Source organism: Homo sapiens, chromosome 8, assembly GCF_000001405.40.
Source record: "Homo sapiens chromosome 8, GRCh38.p14 Primary Assembly".
Lineage (NCBI taxonomy): Eukaryota > Metazoa > Chordata > Mammalia > Primates > Hominidae > Homo > Homo sapiens.
The window spans coordinates 123,166,010-123,184,942 of NC_000008.11; the positions used below are offsets into that span (position 1 = coordinate 123,166,010).

Below are 18,933 nucleotides of genomic sequence, written 5' to 3' on the forward strand. Positions count from 1 at the left end.
CCAAAACTAAAAATAATAAATTAAAATAAAATAAAATAATAAAAATAATAAAGATACAGAGGGAGTCGGGGGCTGGGTGAGGGGAAGGATTATCAGGGCCGGGAGGGGGCTGGGGAGGAAGGGCCTGTGGTGGGTTTCAGTTCTCCTGTGGAGCTTTGGGAAGCAGCGAAGGTTTCCCGGGTCTGGCCTTTTCCCCGTAGGCCTTGGTGACATGGCAGGACTTGGCGGTAAGCCCAAGTGTCTCAGCTCCTCATTCTGGCTGTGACAAGCCAGCTGGGCAAGCTGAGGGAGGCCCAGGGAGCCTGGATGTACAGAGCAGGGAGCAGGGTTTTCTCCAGACGTGCCCTGCAGGAAGCAGCCAGCAGTTCTTTTGCCATCTGTGCAGGGGAGCGGAAGGCCATGGTCCTCCCAGCTCAACTTCCTACTCAACAAGTGGCCGGCGAGGTGTGAGTCAGCCTGTTGTTGCTGGACGGGTCTGAGAGCCATCGCTCTGCGTGGTGCTGACAGAGGACCCAGAAGAAGAAGGAAGGCCTCGCCCCTGCAGGCCCAGATGCTCCCAGAGGGGCTCCATTGTCCCCACACTGTGGCCAGAGGGAGCCGTCATAAAAGCTAACGTGTCCTGCTGAACAGCCTCGGAAGCTCCCGCTGACCATGACATCGAAGCCAGGGTGCCCACGTGCCCTTGCGGGCTCACCTCCCAGCCCATCTCTTCCCACTCCTCCCCCACCCCATACCCCACGGAATCCCCATTCCCTCCACCCCACCCACCCGGCTGATGACTGTCCTGCTGCTCTCCTCTGTGGCCACAGAGAGGCCTCCTGAGCTGGCTCCCTGCTGCTCACCCTCCCAGCCCTGTACTCCCCAGACCTTAGCCTCATCACCGTGCGGTGCCATGATTTCTCAGTTACTGCCGTTCCCACCGGATCACAAGCACCAGGCACACAGCAGGGGCCATGCGGTACCCACTGTGCAGAGCCCATGGTGGGCCCTCGAGCATTTGTGTGTTTGATGACTGCATGCAACATTTTCCACCCTGCACTGTAATGGCTCAGCTTTTCTTGAAGGCAGGGACTGTTGTTGATTCATTTCTGCATCCCCAGGTTTTAGTCTGATCAGACTTATTTTCTAGTTCCAAAGGCGTGCAGGCTCTGATTTCTGTAACTGAGTAAACCTTTCCATGGACTGGCCCAGAGTGGGCTCTAAGGCCATTGCCCTCTCTCAGTATACTTGGTGGGGAGACAGCGAGGCCCCCTAGCCAGAGGAGAGGAAAGAGTGACAGGACTCACCTCACAGGGCCCTTCTGACACCTTCTGACTCACCTACTGACAGATGAGATAAGTCGGAGTGGGTGTGTTCCCAGCAGCCCTGGGGCCCCAAGGAACTGTGGGCCTGCTCCTTCCAAGTTCAGGCCTAGAACAACACAGTGGTTCTGCCCACAGTTCCAACAGGTATAACAGCAACGGGGTAATAGTATGTGTCCCCATCACCCCAGGCCAGAGCCATGAGAACACAGAGCCATGAGGCCCCCTCCTTCACAAGGCTACTGGGTCTCATGGTTCTTATCTCCAGGAGCCAGGCACACAGGGACTGGGCTGTCTGAGTACCAAGCCTTTGAAATCATATCACGAAAATCTATCCCTGAGCCTATATCTCAAACATAGCGTTTGTGCCTGAAATTGCACAATTGGATTGTGGCAGTTGCATCATCTGGCTCATAGTTTAAGGCTTAGAGGTTTCACTACTTTAGATGACAGCTCGATGGCCCAAGGGAGAAAGTCTGATTACAAAGTGGCATTTACTGGGAGGTCCAGGCCCCCAAAAGGGATTGATCTGGGGGTCCCAGAACCAGGACTCCAGCAACCCCCACATACATACACAGTAGGCACTCACTGAGTGTGGAATGAATGCATGATATAAGTTTATAAGTGAATGCATGATATAAGTCCATCGGCCTTTTAATATTCAAACATCTGCCCCCACTTCACACACACACACACACACACACACAGAGAGAGAGAGAGAGAGAGAGAGAGAGAGAGAGAGAGAGAGAGAGCAGGTCTTTTCTTATTGAAGGGAAGCAGGGAATTGGTCACAGTGAGTTGATTCATCCTTACAATTTGCAAGTGACTAGAGCCAAAGAGGGGTGTAAACCAGAATCTTCTAGAGCAAGTTTGTCCAACCCGTGGCCTGAGGACTGCATGCAGCCCAGGACAGCTTTGAATGCTGCCCAACACAAATTCATAAACTTTATTAAAACATTATGAGATTTATGCACGGACCCTTTTTTTTTTTTCTTTTTTTAGCTCATCAGCTATTGTTAGTGTCAGTGTATTTTATGTGTGTCCCAAGACAATTCTCCTTCTTCCAGTGTGGCCCAGGGCAGCCAAAAGATTGGACACCCCTGTTATAGAACATTGCCTTTCTCTGCAAAAAGAGGCAGTCGGCAAGAGTTGGCAATGAGGGTGGCGAGAGGTTGTACAGTACACATAAAAGGAATACAACCCACTTGGTCCACAGAAGGGGCTGAAGCTGGTATTCTGTTCTCCCTTGGGACAGAGGCTGCTGGAAGGTGACCAGATGTTTCACTCAACAGACATTGATGAAGTGAAGCTATGAGACAGCCACTGGGATTAAACTGGTGAACAAGACAGACATGGTTCCTCCCTCATTAAGAGACATTATGTAGGTAAACAAATACATAAATGAGCTAATTCCACATTATGGTAAGTGCTGTGAAGGAGGTGATGAGAGTTAAGCTGAAGCCTAATGAATAAGTTCTTTGTTGCAGACAACAGAATCCACTCTAGCTAGCTAAGCAGAAAGGGATTTGTTACAGAGTGTTAATTCATTACAGAATTTCCAGGAGGATCAGGGAACCATGCTTGGATGCCACAAAACAAGGACAACCCAGCCAGGAGGAGGCCCAGCCACACCATGGGACCTCCCTGCTTCGACTCTCACCTCCCCCTCTGACACACGGCCTGGCACCAGCACTTGCTCCTGTCTAAGCTGCTGAAGAAGAACCAATACCTGCATGTGACCTGCTCAGATGGCTCATGTATGCCTTCCAAGTCATGCGGGGATGCTCCTGCTTGTCAGACCCAGGTCCGTAGAAGAGCTCTGGCTTTGGGGAGGGCTGGGAAAAGGCTTTTTTTTTTTTTTTTTAATGGAGTCTTGCTCTGTGGCCCAGGCTGGAATGCAACGGTGCGATCTTGGCTCACTGCAACCTCCGCCTCCCAGGTCCAAGCAATTCTCCTGACTCAGCCTCCCCAGTAGACGAGATTACAGGCATGCATCACCACGCCCAGCTAATTTTTGTATATTTAGTAGAGACGGGGTTTCACCATGTTAGCCAGGCTAGTCTTGAACTCCTGACCTCAGGTGATCCACCTGTCTCAGCCTCCCAAAGTGCTGGGAATACAGGCATCAGCCACGGTACCCCACCAGGGAAAAGACATTTTGAGCTTCTCAGATGCCTTGGAAGAGAACCCTCGAGGGAGGTTGCAGGGAACCCCAAGGTATCTAATCTACACTGTTGCTGCAACACACAGCAAAATGGTAACAGGTTTTTGTTGTTGTTGTTGTTGTTTGAGACGGAGTCTCGCTCTTTCGCCCAGGCTGGAGTGCAATGGCACGATCTCGGCTCACTGCAAGCTCTGCCTCCCAGGTTCACGCCATTCTCCTGCCTCAGCCTCCCGAGTAGCTGGGACTACAGGCGCCCGCCACCAGGCCCAGCTAATTTTTTGTATTTCTATTAGAGACGGGGTTCACCGTGTTAGCCAGGATGGTCTCGATCTCCTGACCTCGTGATCCACCCGCCTCGGCCTCCCAAACTGCTGGGATTACAGGCGTGAGCCACTGCACCTGGCCTGTTTTTGTTTTTTTTTTTTTCCGAGACGAAATTTTGCTCTTGTTGCCGAGGCTGGAGTGCAATGGCGCGATCTCGGCTCACCACAACCTCTGCCACCCAGGTTCAAGCAATTCTCTTGCCTCAGCCTCCCAAGTAGCTGGGATTACAGGCACGAACCACCACGCCTGGCTAATTTTGTATTTCTTAGTAGAGACAGGGTTTCTCCATGTTGGTCAGGCTGGTCTCAAATTCCCAACCTCAGGTGATCTGCCCACCTCAGCCTCCCAAAATGCTGGGATTACAGGCGTGAGCCACCACACCCAGCCTAACTATTTTGATGTCCAGTGGTGCAGCTATGAAAGATGTTCTGTTGCTTTTTAAAATTTTTATTTTATTTGTTTTTGCTTGTCTGTTTTTCCCAAATTTTTACAATGAACATGTAATATTTACAAAACAAAGTGCAAACGCCAGTAGTGTTATTTTCAAGGAAAGGAGACACAATGGAGTCCTATGGAAGAAGGGTTTCCCAGCCCAGCTTGGAGGGACAGGCCTTCTGATTACCCCTGCCAGCCTGAGGGCCACTTTGGGCAGGTTCTGACTGTTTGATGGCCTGAACTATTTACTATTCATGAGAATCATCTCTAAGTTGTTAACGAGATGGCGTTGGGATGAGCTCCTTATACATTCCTTCCTGTGCCGTCTGACATCTTCAACCTTTCCTCGCCCCCACTCACAGCTGTATGTGTGTGTGTGGTGCAGGGGGCTTCAGTGCTATTGCTCCCCACCCAGCACCCAGACAAAGCTAGGGTGGCTCTGGGAGCTTATTCCAGTACAGTGTGTGTGAGACGTTGTGATACAATAAGAAAGACATATTTGGTCTTTGTTTCCACTTCCCAGCACAGAGCTCCTGAAACCCTGGAATTTCCTGAGTGACAGGGGTGATAGGAGTACCTTTTGTTGTAATATTTGGTCTTAGTCCTCCGTTCCTGATACAAGAGCTTCTAAGACCCTAGGAATCTCCAGAGTGACAAGGGTACCTTTTTGATGAAAGTAAGATGACTGGTGGCTGGGGGCCCCTAGATAGCTTCAGAATGGGAGCTGGTCATGAGAAAGATCAAGACATGATTAGATAGCTGGAACTTTCAGTTCCTACCCCTACCCTCTGGGGAGGACAGAGGCTCCACAAAAACCCTAAACCCAGTTGGTAAACACATCCATATTCGAGGAATAGGGTGCACCCCAGCTCCACAGGGGCAGAAACTCCTGTGGGTGGGACCCTTCTGCACCTCACCCTTTGTACCTTTTCATCGGACAGTTCATTTATATCCCTTATGATAATCTAGTAAGCATAAGTAAAGTGTTTCCTTGAGTTCTGTGAGCCATTATAGCAAGCGACCAAATGAGAAGAGAGGATTGTGGGAACTCCTGATTTGTAGCCAAGCCAGACAGAAATGTGGGAAAACCTGAGGCCCCACTGCTTGCAGCTGGCATCCGAAGTGGGAGTGGTCTTGTTGGACTGAGCCCTTAACCTGTGGGGTCTGTGCTAAGTCCAGGTACTTAGTGTCAGAGTTGAATTAAATGGCAGGACACGTCTGGGTGCCGTGGCTCATGCCTGTAATCCCAGCACTTTAGGAGGCTGAGGTGGGTGGATCCCCTGAGGTCAGGAGTTCAAGACCAGCCTGGCCAACATATTGAAACACTGTCTCTACTAAAAATGTAAAAACTCAGCCAGGCTTGGTGGTGGGCACCTGTAGTCCCAGCTACTCTGGAGGCTGAGGCAGGAGAATCACTTGAAGCCAGGAGGCAGAGGCTGCAGCGAGCCAAGATTACACCATTGCACTCCAGCCTGGGTGGCAGAGTGAGACTCTATCTCAAAAATAAAAGTAAATTGCAGGACATCCAGCTGGTCTCTGCAGAGAACTGGATAATTGCTGGGTGTGGAAAAACCCACACTTTTGGTGTCAGAAGTTTGCTGTGGGTGAAGAAACGGTCTTCCTTTAGTGGACTTCCCCAAAAAGCAGTTAGTCCCTTCTGAATTCCTGAGCTTCTGAACTGGGTCCTCTGGTCTCGGCCAGGTGCTATGCTGGATATGAAAGAGCAGAAGTTATTATCTTCGTTCTAGAAAAAGAGACAATTTCACCAGAGAGACAAGGCACAAGTTAGATAGATAAACACAAAAAACTCCCCAAATGATGCAACTAGATGGGACTTCGGGGATTTAATATTTTTATATTACAAAAAATATTTTAATTTGGTTTCACAAATAATGCAATGTGAGAAAACTAATTTCCTTATGCTGTCACCCAAGGCTGGCTTCATGTGTGCAGTCCCACAGGCCCCACATTCAGAAGGACCCCACACTTGGTTTAATACTCTGTTGCAAATGTCTCAAAATTCTCGATGATTTGATCATTGAACTTGGATTTCATAAGTGAGGTCTGATGCTGGTGTGAACAGAAGGATAAGTGAACTCGGGCATCTAGAGTCCCTTGCTGACCCATCCCCATATAGCATTCACATTGTCCTGTGAGCACTTAATTCCAGGAGACCCATGATGCATGGGAGGTCAGCGAGACTCAAAGTGAGCACAAGGTAAGTGTTCTACCTCTGTGACTCAGTGGGTGTGACAGAGCTGAGAAGCCACACTTTCTGTTCAAACCGCAACTTGCCTAAATGCAGAAAAAAGGCAATGGCGTTCCAAGAAACATAAATGACCAAGGAATTCTACCATATGCTTTCTTACTTGTGTTGTTTCCTCACACTGACCAACCAGGTTACACTCAAAATGATGACACAGAAAGACCAAGAAAGATAAGGCTGCCAGGCCTGGTGGCTCACGCCTGTAATCCCAGCACTTTGGGAGGCCGAGGCAGACAGATCACCTGAGGTCAGGAGTTCAAGACCAGCCTGGCCAACATGGTGAAATCCCATCTCTACTGAAAATACAAAATTTAGCTGGGTGTGGTGGCTTGTGCTTGTAATCCCAGCTACTCGGGAGGCTGAGGCAGGAGAATCGCTTGAACCCAGGAGGTGGAGGTTGCAGTGAGCCGAGGTCATGCCACTGCACTCCAGCCTGGGTGACAGAGCAAGACTCTGTCTCAAAAAAAATTAAAAAGATAAGGCAACCCAAAGTTTCTTTTCTGCTCTGCCGTTCTTATTCATCAGTAAGCCAAAGGTAGAGAGTGTTGGTAGAATGTGTGCATATCAAGAAGTGAAATAAAAATAGTTGAGCTCATTTTGTGAAGCATTTCTACTTTCTGGTAAGAATGAAATACATATGCATGTACAAACAAAATATGGGTTGTGTAATTTCAGTAATTCCATGTACAAGTTAAACACTCTGATATTTGCATTTAAAATGTCATTGCACAATGTAAACATGAATGCTAACAATCTTTTTTTTTTTTCCTGAGACGGAGTCTTGCTCTATCGCCCAGGCTGGAGTGCAGCGGCACAATCTCTGCTTACTGCCACCTCCACCTCCCGGGTTCAAGCGATTCTCCTGCCTCAGCCTCCTCAGTAGCTGGGATTACAGACATGCGCCACCACACCCAGCTAATTTTTTGTATTTTTAGTAAAGACGGGGCTTCACCATGTTGGTCAGGCTGGTCTCGAACTCCTAACCTCAGGTGATCTGCCTGCCTGAGCCTCCCAAAGTGCTGGGATTACAGGCATGAGCCACCATGCCCCGCCATATTCTGTATCTCGACCATGGTGGTGGTTACACGACTGTATGTGTTTCTCAAAACTCAGAGAGCTGTACACTAACAAGGGTACATTTTATTGCTAATAAGTTATACTTTGATTTAAGTTTCTGCAATGTCCTAACCAACCATCAGAGGTCCCACGGTTTTTATGCATGTCGGAAATTCTGAGCAATGGAATGGGGACTCTGAACTGGGAAACTCCAGAGGGCAAAGGCATTTGCAGCTGTGGCTCTCTGGGAATGGAGCAGTGCTTTTGCCAGATGCTGAAGATGGAATCGCTGAGGACAACCCTGCAGAGACACGGCTCCCATGAAAAGCAACTGTAAGGCCAGGTGTGGTGGCTCATGCCTGTAATCCCAGCACTTTGGGAGGCCGATGTGGGCAGATCACTGGAGGTCAGGAGTTCGAGCCCAGCCCGGCCAACATGGTGAAACCCCGTCTCAACTAAAAATACAAAAATTAGCCGGGCATGGTGGCATGTGTCTGTAATCCCAGCTACTCAGGAGGCTGAGGCAGGAGAATCACTTGAACCTGGTAGGCGGAGGCTTCAGTGAGCCTAGATTGTGCCACTGCACTCCAGCCTGGGCAACAGAGTGAGACTCTGTCTCAAAAAAGAAAAAAAAAAAAAAAAAGCAACTGTAAAGGACCTGTGGATGGGGGAGTGGGGTCTAGGGTGCCCGGCAGGACACCCTGGCCTGTTCCAGCTGCCACTCTCTGACCTTGCCTGCCAGCAGAGGCCAGCGCTGCAGGGGCTCCTTGGCCTGCCTTCGCTGAGCTGATTTTAGGCAGAATGGATTGATTGATGTTGACAGGGAGCTATTTACCCGTCTAATTAATTATGCCAACTAATTTTCAACTTAACTGCACTTCTCGGGTCATTGGGTAAGGAGACTGTATGATTTTCATGCTGCTGCAGGCCTTGATGAGGAAGTGGCAGGAGAGGGTGGCAGCTGCTCCTGGAGGTCAAACAGGCACCCTGTTCCTCCACGTCGCTGTGTCCCTGGCCTGACTCCTGCCCCGTGGACAAGCTCTGGAGTCCTATTTGTGTGCATTCTATCCGCGTGAGCTGGCCTGTGATTCAGGAGCTTTTTGCTGTCTATTCACCTAAGTGCTCATTCGGTGCCTTCGACGTGCCAGCCCCAAACTGGGATAGGCACTTGGAGTTCCAAGAAGCTAAGTCATGCCTGACCCCACCCCCACCCCAAATTGCTCACAGCCTAAAGGAGGAGATTCCCGCTTAAACCAGCAGTTACAGACAAACGCAATCCAGGCTCTGTCATGGGGCCCTTAAGGAATTTACTTAACCTCCCTGTGCCTCAGTTTCCTCATCTAGAAAAACATTACCGGGCTGCGCCAGGATGCAGAGTATATGCAACAGGACTATCCGTCCCTGCTGCTGCCCTTTCTACCCGCCCTGCCCGTTGTCTTGTAGATTGTCCCATGTTCTGGATTTTTCTGATTGTTTCCTTCTCATGGGATGACCTAAAAAACATTTTTTTTTTTGAGACGGAGTCTTGCTCTGTTCCCCAGGCTGGAGTGCAGTGGCACGATCTCGGCTCACTGCGAGCTCTGCCTCCCGGGTTCACGCCATTCTCCTGCCTCAGCCTCCCGAGTAGCTGGACTACAGGCGCCCGCCACCACACCTGGCTAATTTTTTGTATTTTTAGTAGAGACGGAGTTTCACCGTATTAGCCAGGATGGTCTCGATCTCCTGACCTCGTGATCTGCCCGTCTCGGCCTCCCAAAGTGCTGGGATTACAGGTGTGAGCCACTGCGCCCGGCCTAAAAACATTTTTTTAAATCAAAAGCTTATTGAAGCAGTGCAAAACCAATACAAAGTATTTCCTTTCTCCTTCTCCTCCTCCTCCTCCTATTTCTTTTTCTTCTTCTTCTTCTTTTTGAGACAGGGTCTTGTTTCTTTTTTTTGAGCAGGGTCTCACTCTACCACCCAGGCTGGAGGGTGGTGGTGTGATCATGGCTCTCTGCAGCCTCACCCTCCACGACTCAAGCAGTCCTCCCACTTCAGCCTCCCAAGTTGCTGGGACTACAGGTGCATGCACCACCACACCTGGTTAATTTAAAAAGAAATTGTAGATATGAGGGTTTCACTATATTACCAGGCTGGTCTGGAACTCCTGGCCCAAGCCTCCCAAAGTGTTGGGATTACACGTATGAGCCACTGCGCCCAGCCATTTCCTTTCTTTTGAACCATTGAGAGAAAGCTGCCGACAGAATGTGCCATCATCCCTATTATTTTTTGTGTGTTTCCTACAAGCTAGGATTCTCTCTTACAAACTACAAATCAACCATCTATATTGGGAAATCAACAGTGATAAATTGCTGCCCTTTAATCCTCAGGTCCCCTACAAGTTCTGCCAACTGTCCCAATATGTCTTTCGTAGCAAAAGAATCCAGTGCAGAATCACACGTTACATTTAGTTATCAGAGCTCTTTAGTCTCCTTCAATATGGAGCAGTTCCCCAGACCTCCCTAAGATAATGGCTTTGATAGCTCTGAGATGAGAGGGCAGTTACTTTGTAGGATGTCCTCGCATTTGGCTTTGTCTGATATTTCCTCCTAATTCTATTCTGATCATGTATCTTTGCCAGGAACATCACAGAAGCGATTCTGTCATCTTGTTGCATCCTCTCAGGTGGCTCAAGATTTCAGTTTGTCCCTTTTTGATGAGGGTCACTTTGATCACTTGATTAGGGTGGTGTCTGATAAGTGTCTGTGTTGTAAAGTTTCTTGTTCCCCTTTGTAATTATCAAGTATTTTATGGGGAGTTTATTTTTATTTTATTTTATTTTTTTGAGACAGGGTCTCATTCTGTTGCCCAGGCTGGAGTGCCTTGCACGAAGATGGCTCACTGCAACCTGGACCTCCTGGGCTCAAGTGATCCTCCTGCCCCAGCTGCCCAAGTAGCTGGGACTACAGGCACGCACCACCACACTAATTTTTTTTTGGTAGAGTCGAGGTCTTGCCCTGTTGCTCAGGCTGGTCTCGAACTCCTGAGCGCAAGCAATCCACCCACCTTGGCCTCCTCAAATTCTGGGATTACAGGTGTGAGCCACCACGCCCTGTAGGGAGTTTATTTGAAACTTTATCCCATTCCTTCTCAAACTTTCAAAATCTGTATTCATTTGTATTAATCTGGTCTTGTGGTTTCCTACTTTATTTCATGCATTATAATCCTTTATGGCCATGATTTTCATGCTCAGATTGTCCCAGGTAAGCCAGTGGGAACCCCTTCAAGCTGGCTTCTAGGTCTTTTTGACATGGCCTCATCACTCTTTGAACTCCTTCCTGCTTTCTGGCATCAGATGCTCCATGATCACTTTGTACTTTGTCTGCTCTGGACTTGAAATTGGCCATTTCTCCAAGAAGCCCTGGGCACTAGGTACACACATTGCAGTCTGAGCATCGCTGTTAGCAGACAGAACAGGAGAATATATATATATATACACACACACACACACACACACAGAGATATGTGTGTGTGTATATATATAAACACGTATATGTATATATATTTCTAGAATTTGTTTTCTGTATTTATATTCTATTCATTTATAATATATATTATATATTCAGATTTATTTTTTATCTAAGTTTATCTATCTGTATTGAAAGCTGTGAGTTCAAATCTGTGTCTCCAATTCATATCTAATAAGTCCATTTCAGTTTCCCCCTTTTCTCTACATGCTCCCTGCTCTGACAATAAGAAACCTGGTTTCCCTTACCTTTAATCTCTTTATTTGCTCAATGCTCCTGTATGTAACCAATCTCCCACCTTTCCCCACCTCCTCCAGCTAGAGCTCTGACACCCCTTACAGGCAGCTCCCCTGCCCACATGGACACCCTCTTTGCCCTGTTTGGGCTCTGACTGGCCCCTGTGAGGACACACCCTCACACCCTGTGCAGGCATTCCCTCAACCCCTCAGCCCCCTGCACCTCCTCACCTGGCCTGGGCTCCGACACATGCTCTGAGCCACCAAGCCCATTCCCACCACTGACACCCATCTTGCTCTGACCCACCCAGTGGCTTTAGGACTGAATTGTTCCAGAAGAAAAGAGAGGGGAGGTGTGGAGCAGGGAAGCGTGCACACTTTTAATGACATGGAAAATACACTTCTGAGTAATGCTAAGCAAAAAAGAAGGCAAAATATATAAAATTGCACAGAGAGTACAATATCAATGATGTAGAAAGCTCAGAAACATTGGCACTCTCTCCAGCTAAAGAGCCAAGCAGAAACTGGACAAGGTTGGTTCACTGACCACCCAGTGCAGCGCCCTAAGATCTCACGTCCTTTGAGGTTACCGCTGTGCCTTATTTCCTTCATCCATGAAACGGAATGCTGGTAGCACTTACTCACAGGGTTGTCGTGAGGCTGAAGTGAGTTAACACATGAAAAGCACATAGGACACCACCGCACACACATGGGACGTGCCCCACAAATGTTACTATAGGGATGAGGAAAGTGAAGTTCAGTAAGGTCCTCTATGTTACCTTCCTGAGGTCCCCTATCATAGGCACAGTCTGGACACAGTTGTGCCCAACTCAAAGTTCATGTAAGCCTTTTGCTGTTGCACTGCTCAAGGAATTAGAAGCAGTGGGAGATGGGGTAATACACCAGTAACCAGGACAAGACTCCCTGAGACATATTCTACAAGCGCCTTGCGGACCAGAAGAGGAGTAGTTACAGTCACTTGGTAATTCACCACGAGGGCTTCCCAGCATAGGTCGGATTCAGGATATAGACCTTGAACGCTGGGAAAGATTTGAATAAGTTATGATGGTGGAAGGAAAGACTGGAGAACAGACTGAACAATGGCAGGGGACTGGGATCCCCACATCAGTCACCGGGTGAGGGCCCGTCACCTGTGAGTGTGTTCCTCAGCCTCAGCGCTGCAGGTGTTTTGGGCCAGGCAGCTCTGTATTGTGGGGGACTTTCCAGTGCGTTGTTGGTTGTAGCAACACCCCTGGCTTATTCTCACTAATGCCAGTTAGCAACCCAGGCCCCCAGAATGACAACCAAAAATGGCTACAGATGTTGCCTGATGTCCCCTGGATGGGGGTCCAAAATCATCTCCAGCTGAGTGCCACTGTCCTAGATAAATGGAATTTTCAGGAAGCCCCAATGCCACTCATTTATTAACAGGAGCCCGGCTTCTCATCCTTTCTCTTATTGTTGGATGACCTCATGAAAAGGAGACAACCACACTTCAGATGGCCACAGGAAGGAAGAAGGGAAGTGGAGTCCTCCATAATCCACAGTGCCTGTCACTGAGGGCTCCTTGATAAGGATTTTTCAAGGTATGAACGTGCAGTTCAACAGCTGGCCAGACTTCCTGGTTCAGAAGTGTAATCCTAGGTGGGGAAGTTTGTTATTACAGCCGGCAAGAACGAGGACACTTCACAGGGCTGGGCTGCCGAGGAAAGATGAGAGACTAAACTGATGAGAATCACCAACCAGTTTGATGACTTGGAGAACAGTCACTTCCTCTTTCTGGGCTACAGTTTTCTCATCAGTAACTGAAGAGCTTGCAGTACCTTCAACATTCCTTCAGGTGAGGACTTCTCTTTGATCACTGCTATGGTTTGAATGTGTCTCCTAAAGTTCATGTGTTGGAAGCTTGATCCCCAGTGCAAAAGTGTTGGGAGGTGGGGCCTAATGAGAAGTAATTAGGCCATGAGTATTCTGCCCTCATGTATTCATGAGATTAATGTCATTATCATGGGAGCGGGTTTGTTAAAATGAGTTCGGCCCCTTCCTTCTCTCTCTTTCTTCTGCCATACAGTATGGGATGCACAGTGCAGAAGGTCTTACCAGATACTGGCACCATGCTTTTGGACTTCTCAGCCCCCAGAACCATGAGCCAAATAAATTTCTGTTCATTATAAATCACCCAGTCTGTGGCATCCTGTTAGAGCAGCATAAATGGACTAAGATAATCCCTATAAAGAGTGGCAACAGAACAGTTCCCAGCTCACTGGCAGAATCCTATGATCAACTAGTAATGTCTGCCAGGGAAGGAGGATGAGTGGCACTAACATGTACGGTGTGTTTGCTCACTGTTCTACAGGATTCAACTAGAATCTCTGGGTCTGTGTGAAGACCAAGAGCTGGGAACAGAAGCAGGGCTCTAGAGGGAAAAGTTTCTTTCGGATTCCTTTTTTTTGTTTTGTTTTAAAGAGCTGCTCTGTGAGAAGACAAGGAGAAAATGGTCCCTACAGGATACTCACCTCTGTCTCAGGGAGACACTCAAGCATTTATTCAACCAAGAAAGAGAATTAGTTCCAGGTGAAAGGAGAACCCCAGAATACCCACCTACTTTTAAAATTCTCCCCTATGCATATTCAGGAACCAATCAGAGGATCTGTAATGCGCTGTGAGTAGAAAGGGAAGGGGAATGGGAAAGAAAAAAGTGAAGCTTGGAATGGTGGAAAGTACATGGGCTCTGCCATTTACCAGCTAAGTGATCTTGGGCAAGTAACTTGACCTTTCTGAGCCTCGGTTTCCTCTTTGGTGAAATGAGGACTAATAATCCATTTCTCCCTCAGTACAGACAGCCAGCATGCAGTGAGCACTCAGCGATGGCCAAGTATGGGAGAAGCCATGCTGGAATGAACATGTGGGACCATTTTGTGCAGTTTCTCAGGTAGGCTCAAGACTTGGTACTTAGTTTAACAGGCAATGGGGAGCCATTGACAACTTAAAAAAAAAATAACATAAATGGGAACCACTCAGACTGTGTCCTCTTCCTCTTCCAGAGGAAGATAACAACCATCTTCAATGGCACATGGCAGTTGCCAAATTGCCATGAAGCAATATCTAAAGCCACCTCATGCTCAGGAGAAAACGCTCACCTTCCCCTCCTGGCTCCCCGTGCTCTACACGTTCAGAGAAACTTCTCTAGTAATGAACTCAGGAACTGGTCACTGAGAGTATAGTCTCTATGGACAGCTTCGGAGCCATGGAGTGAAGCCGAGCAAATCCATGGACCACTGCCCTGCCCCCGGTCTATCTCGCTAGACTAGGGACAGGACTTGGGTGATGCAGGAACAGAGAATGGCCTGAGGAGGACACAGACCAGACCAGAGAGGAAGGAAGATGAGAGGAGGATGCGGGAAAGGGGCTTACATCAATCTCCAGAAGCAAGAGTTGGCAAAAGGCAGAAGGGAAAAGGCATAGATCCAAAAAGGCAATGGGAGAGAGGGTTTATTGGATTTGTCCTCTTTGACCTCCAGGGATTGTAGGGAGGAGATAAAATGGAATAAAGAGAGGATTGCTCAAGATTGTGAATTGGATTCCTTCGATGTTCCAAAAAAAAAAAGAGAAAGAGAGAGATTCCTTTTATTTTATATTATTTTATTTTATTATTTTATTTTTTGAGACAGAGTTTCGCTCTGTTGCCCAGGCTACAGTGCAATGGTGCGATCTTGGCTCATTGCAGCCTCTGCCTCCTGGGTTGAAGCAATTCTCCTGCCTGATCTCCTGCCCCAGTAGCTGGGACTACAGGCGCATACCACCAGGCCCGGCTAATTTTTGTATTTTTAGTAGCGACAGTGTTTCATCATGTTGGCCAGGCTGGTCTTGAACTCCTGACCTCAAGTGATCCACCTGCCTTGGCCTCCCAAAGTGCTGGGATTACAGGTGTGAGTCACTGCACCCAGCCGCGCCACACTTTAAAAAATACTGTGGTACTGCTGGGTTCAGGCACAAGGGCCACAGCTACAGTAGGGTTACAGGTGTTCATAGCTGTTTTTCTCCAAAGAATGGCTCTGCCACTGACAGACATCAGGTTCTTACCATATCCTGGCTCTTTGAAGACCACACAATCCTGATTTCTTGGTGTCGTCCCTGAGCAGATAGCGTCAGGGCCTTGCTTTCATTTCTTTACTTTCATTTATTCGCTCCTCACCACTCCCACAGCACTCTGCCTGTAGCACCTGACACTGCCTGAAGGCTTTCTCTGGGTTCAGGGCTGTGCTTGGTGAACTGGCCCCGGGAGCAGCCCTCAGCCAATGATAACTAGGACTCCTTAGATAAACTCCGCAGCTTTCTCACCCTTTGGGCAGGAAAACCTTGAGATATATTTGGCACCATCACCCAGAGGTTCCCACAGGCTGGAACCCCCTGATGTCCCCAGAGATGTCCATGAACCCAGATGTCCACAGCAGTGGCCTGCTCCTCAACTTCACCTGGCCTGGCTTCCTTCCCTTCCCGTTTCTCTTCCCCACTTCTCTCTGTACTTCTCAGAATGATCTTCCGACCAACCACTTGTACTGAAATCCTAGTCTCAGAGCCTGTTTCCAGCAGAGCCCACCCAAAGAGAGTCAGGGTTCTAGGCAGTCCATCCCATTGCCAGATCACGATCTGATCTGGAAAGAACACGTGGTCACTCCCCTCAGAGTTCATAGATTTCAAACCCACGTGCTGCTCCTCTCACTCCAGCGCCAACACTGACTGGTCCCCTGGGCTCGTGGGCCGCCGGCAGCCTCGGCTCGTTCTCCAGACAGTGTTCCAAGAAGCCACTTCCAGCGAGGAAGCGTTGGCCTGAGAACTGGAACCTCTGCGGTCTCTGCAAACACGACAATGACAAACACTTGAGAGGGCATGGGAGAAAGGAGCTCCTTCATAGGGCAGGGAGGGGTGGGCACTTGGGTGTGACCAAGGAGAGGAGGCGCGCCTGGTCAACAGCTCTCCCTGGCCCGTGTCCAGCTCCCTCCTCACACAGAGAGGGGGGCGCATCTCAGGGATGGCATCTTTCCCCCCCACAGGGAAATTCTTATCTTTGAAACAGCATGGGAATCGAGGCACCCAGGAGGGGAGCAGAGGCAGGCAGGCCTCCTTCAGGCCCATCCTCCAGCTGGGCTGGTGGTGCCAGGGAGGCTCCCTGCTTGGTAACAAAGGCCTGAGGGAGAGTTGCGAAACCCAGCAGGAAAGCCGGCTCACCTTCGCCTCCCCCTGCGGCTGGGAGGAGAGGAAATATCCCATGGCTGACTGTGCCAAGGAGGTGTCTGAGCCAGCCCTCCCGGCCCGAGGGCAGGGCAGGTGGCCCTGAGAGATAAGCCAATCCCGCAGCTGCAGATGAGGAGTTCTGAGAAGCATTGCTCAGGACAGCGGTAAATCACTTCTTGGAGGTGCCCTGCACGCCGGTCCTGGGAGCAGGCGGCCTCCCGGGGGTGCGGGAGCCCCACTCCTCCGTGGTGTGTTCCATTTGCTTCCCACATCTGGAGGAGCTGACGTGCCAGCCTCCCCCAGCACCACCCAGGGACGGGAGGCATGAGCCGGTCAAGGCACCTGGGCAAAATCCGGAAGCGTCTGGAAGATGTCAAGAGCCAGTGGGTCCGGCCAGCCAGGGCTGACTTTAGTGACAACGAGAGTGCCCGGCTGGCCACGGACGCCCTCTTGGATGGGGGTTCTGAAGCCTACTGGCGGGTGCTCAGCCAGGAAGGCGAGGTGGACTTCTTGTCCTCGGTGGAGGCCCAGTACATCCAGGCCCAGGCCAGGGAGCCCCCGTGTCCCCCAGACACCCTGGGAGGGGCGGAAGCAGGCCCTAAGGGACTGGACTCCAGCTCCCTACAGTCCGGCACCTACTTCCCTGTGGCCTCAGAGGGCAGCGAGCCGGCCCTACTGCACAGCTGGGCCTCAGCTGAGAAGCCCTACCTGAAGGAAAAATCCAGCGCCACTGTGTACTTCCAGACCGTCAAGCACAACAACATCAGAGACCTCGTCCGCCGCTGCATCACCCGGACTAGCCAGGTACCGATGGCAAAGCCCCTGTCTCCGTGGCCAAGTAGCAGGGAGGATCGGGGGCTGATAGAGCAGGGAGGGGGGTGCATTTTGCTCCCAGGGCGAGAGTCCAGATAATTGGGGCTTCGGATGGAGGGGCTTTGCTGTCCGCCTTGCCCTGGACCACTGACCTCCTGATCCCACCTGTCACAGCCAGGGTCCAGGCCACCAACACTTATCACTGGAACTCCCGCAATCGCTTCCTGCCTGGCCCCCTCTTCCATTTTGATCCCCAGCGTCACAGTCTCCATACTGCAGTAAAGTGGCTTTTCCTCTCTTTCTTTTTTTTTCTTTTTTTTCTTTTCTTTTTTTCTTTCTTTTTTTTTTTCTTTTTTTTTGAGACAGAGTCTTGCTCTTCTTGCTCTGTTGCCCAAGCTGGAGTGTAGTGGCACTATCTCGGGTCACTGCAACCTCCAACTCCCGGGTTCAAGCGATTCTCCTGCTTCAGCCTCTTGAGTAGCTGGGATTACAGGCGCATGCCACCACGCCCAGTTGATTTTTGTATTTTTAGTAGAGAAGAGGTTTCACCATGTTGGCCAGGCTGGTTTTGAACTCCTGACCTTAGGTGATCTGCCCACCTCAGCCTCCCAAAATGCTGGGATTACAGGTGTGAGCCCCAGTGCCCTGCAACCTTTTCTGTACGACAAATCTAATTTGGTCTTTTCCCTGCTTAGAGCCTTCGGTAGCTCCCAGTTGCCCATAATGGGAAGAACAAACTCCTTAGCATGGCTTCCACCTCCTCCTGCTCCATACCAAGTGCCCTGTAGAGCTTGTCTTTGGGCCTTTGCGTGTGCTGTTCCCTCTGCCTGGCCATGCTTGCCTGCCCTGCTTTTCATTTGATACACACCTACTCCTGCTTCAGGACCCAGCATGAAAGCCTCTTCCCCAGAAAACCTTTCCTGAATTCCCCAGGCTGTGTTAGGTGCCCACCTCTGCGCTTCCAAATGTAACGGGGCCACTCCGCTGGGCTCACCTTTGCCCCTTCTCCTCTCAGACTCTGCTAAGACCTGTCTGCCCACAGATGACCTTGTGGCTCTTGAATCCAGCCAGTGGCCAGGCAGAAGATGGAGTAGGCAGCAGAGGGGGTTTCTCTCTCCCCAGAATATTCACACTTTGATAAGTATCTTTAGATAGAAGAGAAAAACCCTTCAAGCCCAGAGCTGGGCTGGTAGGATTTCAGGCACCGTGAGAGCTGGATCAGGAGTTCTCCCAATGCCCCGAGATCTCCACCCTCAAGTGATATCCTGCTGTCAGCCGGAGACAAGTGAAGGGACTTGAGCTCAGGGGTCTTGTTCAACCCCAGGTGCACAAAATGACTCCAGCACCAGGCTGTGGGTGCCCACACCTCACTCCTGCTGCTGCAGAGGGGCAGGGGAGAATGGACCCCAAGGAAAAACATTCATCATCTGTAAAATCCTCTCTGTCTCCCTCTCTCCCTCTCTCTCATTCAAATTATTTATTTTGTTACACTTAGAAGAAGTCATAAAAGAACATGCTGATGTTTGGGTTGGTTTTTTGCTAGGGTCCCAGTCTCATAACTGAATTCCCTCCCAAGTTCAATACCGTGTGAAATCTT

The 18,933-nt window shown here is 49.7% G+C and overlaps 1 protein-coding gene, 1 long non-coding RNA gene and 1 other non-coding gene across 9 annotated transcripts in view, besides 4 other annotated features; 1 reads left to right on the plus strand and 2 right to left on the minus strand.

The window, feature by feature from the left end:
* Positions 213–1,942: a transcriptional cis regulatory region, noted in NCBI's record as "candidate enhancer chr8.2957 targeted for multiplex CRISPR interference". NCBI's record gives its function as "positively regulates FAM83A gene expression with high confidence in K562 cells {active_cell/tissue: K562}" and the evidence as "EXISTENCE:mutant phenotype evidence [ECO:0000015][PMID:30612741]".
* Positions 610–1,110: an enhancer, noted in NCBI's record as "H3K4me1 hESC enhancer chr8:124178859-124179359 (GRCh37/hg19 assembly coordinates)". NCBI's record gives its function as "activates a minimal SCP1, AML or CMV promoter by ChIP-STARR-seq in naive H9 embryonic stem cells {active_cell/tissue: H9 hESC(naive)}" and the evidence as "EXISTENCE:reporter gene assay evidence [ECO:0000049][PMID:30033119]".
* Positions 1,240–1,534: an enhancer, noted in NCBI's record as "tiled region #4427; K562 Activating DNase matched - State 5:Enh". NCBI's record gives its function as "activates a minimal TATA promoter and a strong SV40 promoter by Sharpr-MPRA in K562 cells {active_cell/tissue: K562}" and the evidence as "EXISTENCE:reporter gene assay evidence [ECO:0000049][PMID:27701403]".
* Positions 8,286–8,785: an enhancer, noted in NCBI's record as "H3K4me1 hESC enhancer chr8:124186535-124187034 (GRCh37/hg19 assembly coordinates)". NCBI's record gives its function as "activates a minimal SCP1, AML or CMV promoter by ChIP-STARR-seq in primed H9 embryonic stem cells {active_cell/tissue: H9 hESC(primed)}" and the evidence as "EXISTENCE:reporter gene assay evidence [ECO:0000049][PMID:30033119]".
* The window catches only part of FAM83A (family with sequence similarity 83 member A), a 31,033-nt gene continuing 25,137 nt past the window's right edge, over positions 13,038–18,933 (plus strand). For 3 of the 7 annotated variants that reach the window (NM_001394396.1, NM_001288587.3, NM_001321630.2), the window contains exon 1: positions 16,656–17,327. In NM_001394396.1, the coding sequence (NP_001381325.1) occupies positions 16,848–17,327 (480 nt within the window). In that variant the 5' untranslated portion in view covers positions 16,656–16,847. Of the gene's footprint in view, positions 14,221–16,016; positions 17,328–18,933 lie in introns of those variants that run through there. The other 4 variants (XM_005251087.4, XM_011517338.3, NM_207006.3 and 1 more) reach the window with 3 other exon arrangements.
* On the minus strand, positions 14,301–14,516 carry LOC124902101 (small nucleolar RNA U3). The gene has a single exon (XR_007061225.1). It is a non-coding gene; the product is annotated as a small nucleolar RNA U3 (small nucleolar RNA).
* Positions 14,913–16,779, minus strand: FAM83A-AS2 (FAM83A antisense RNA 2). Its single transcript, NR_189631.1, has 2 exons — positions 16,518–16,779; positions 14,913–16,143 (listed from the first exon to the last, which is right to left on the minus strand). It is a non-coding gene; the product is annotated as an FAM83A antisense RNA 2 (long non-coding RNA).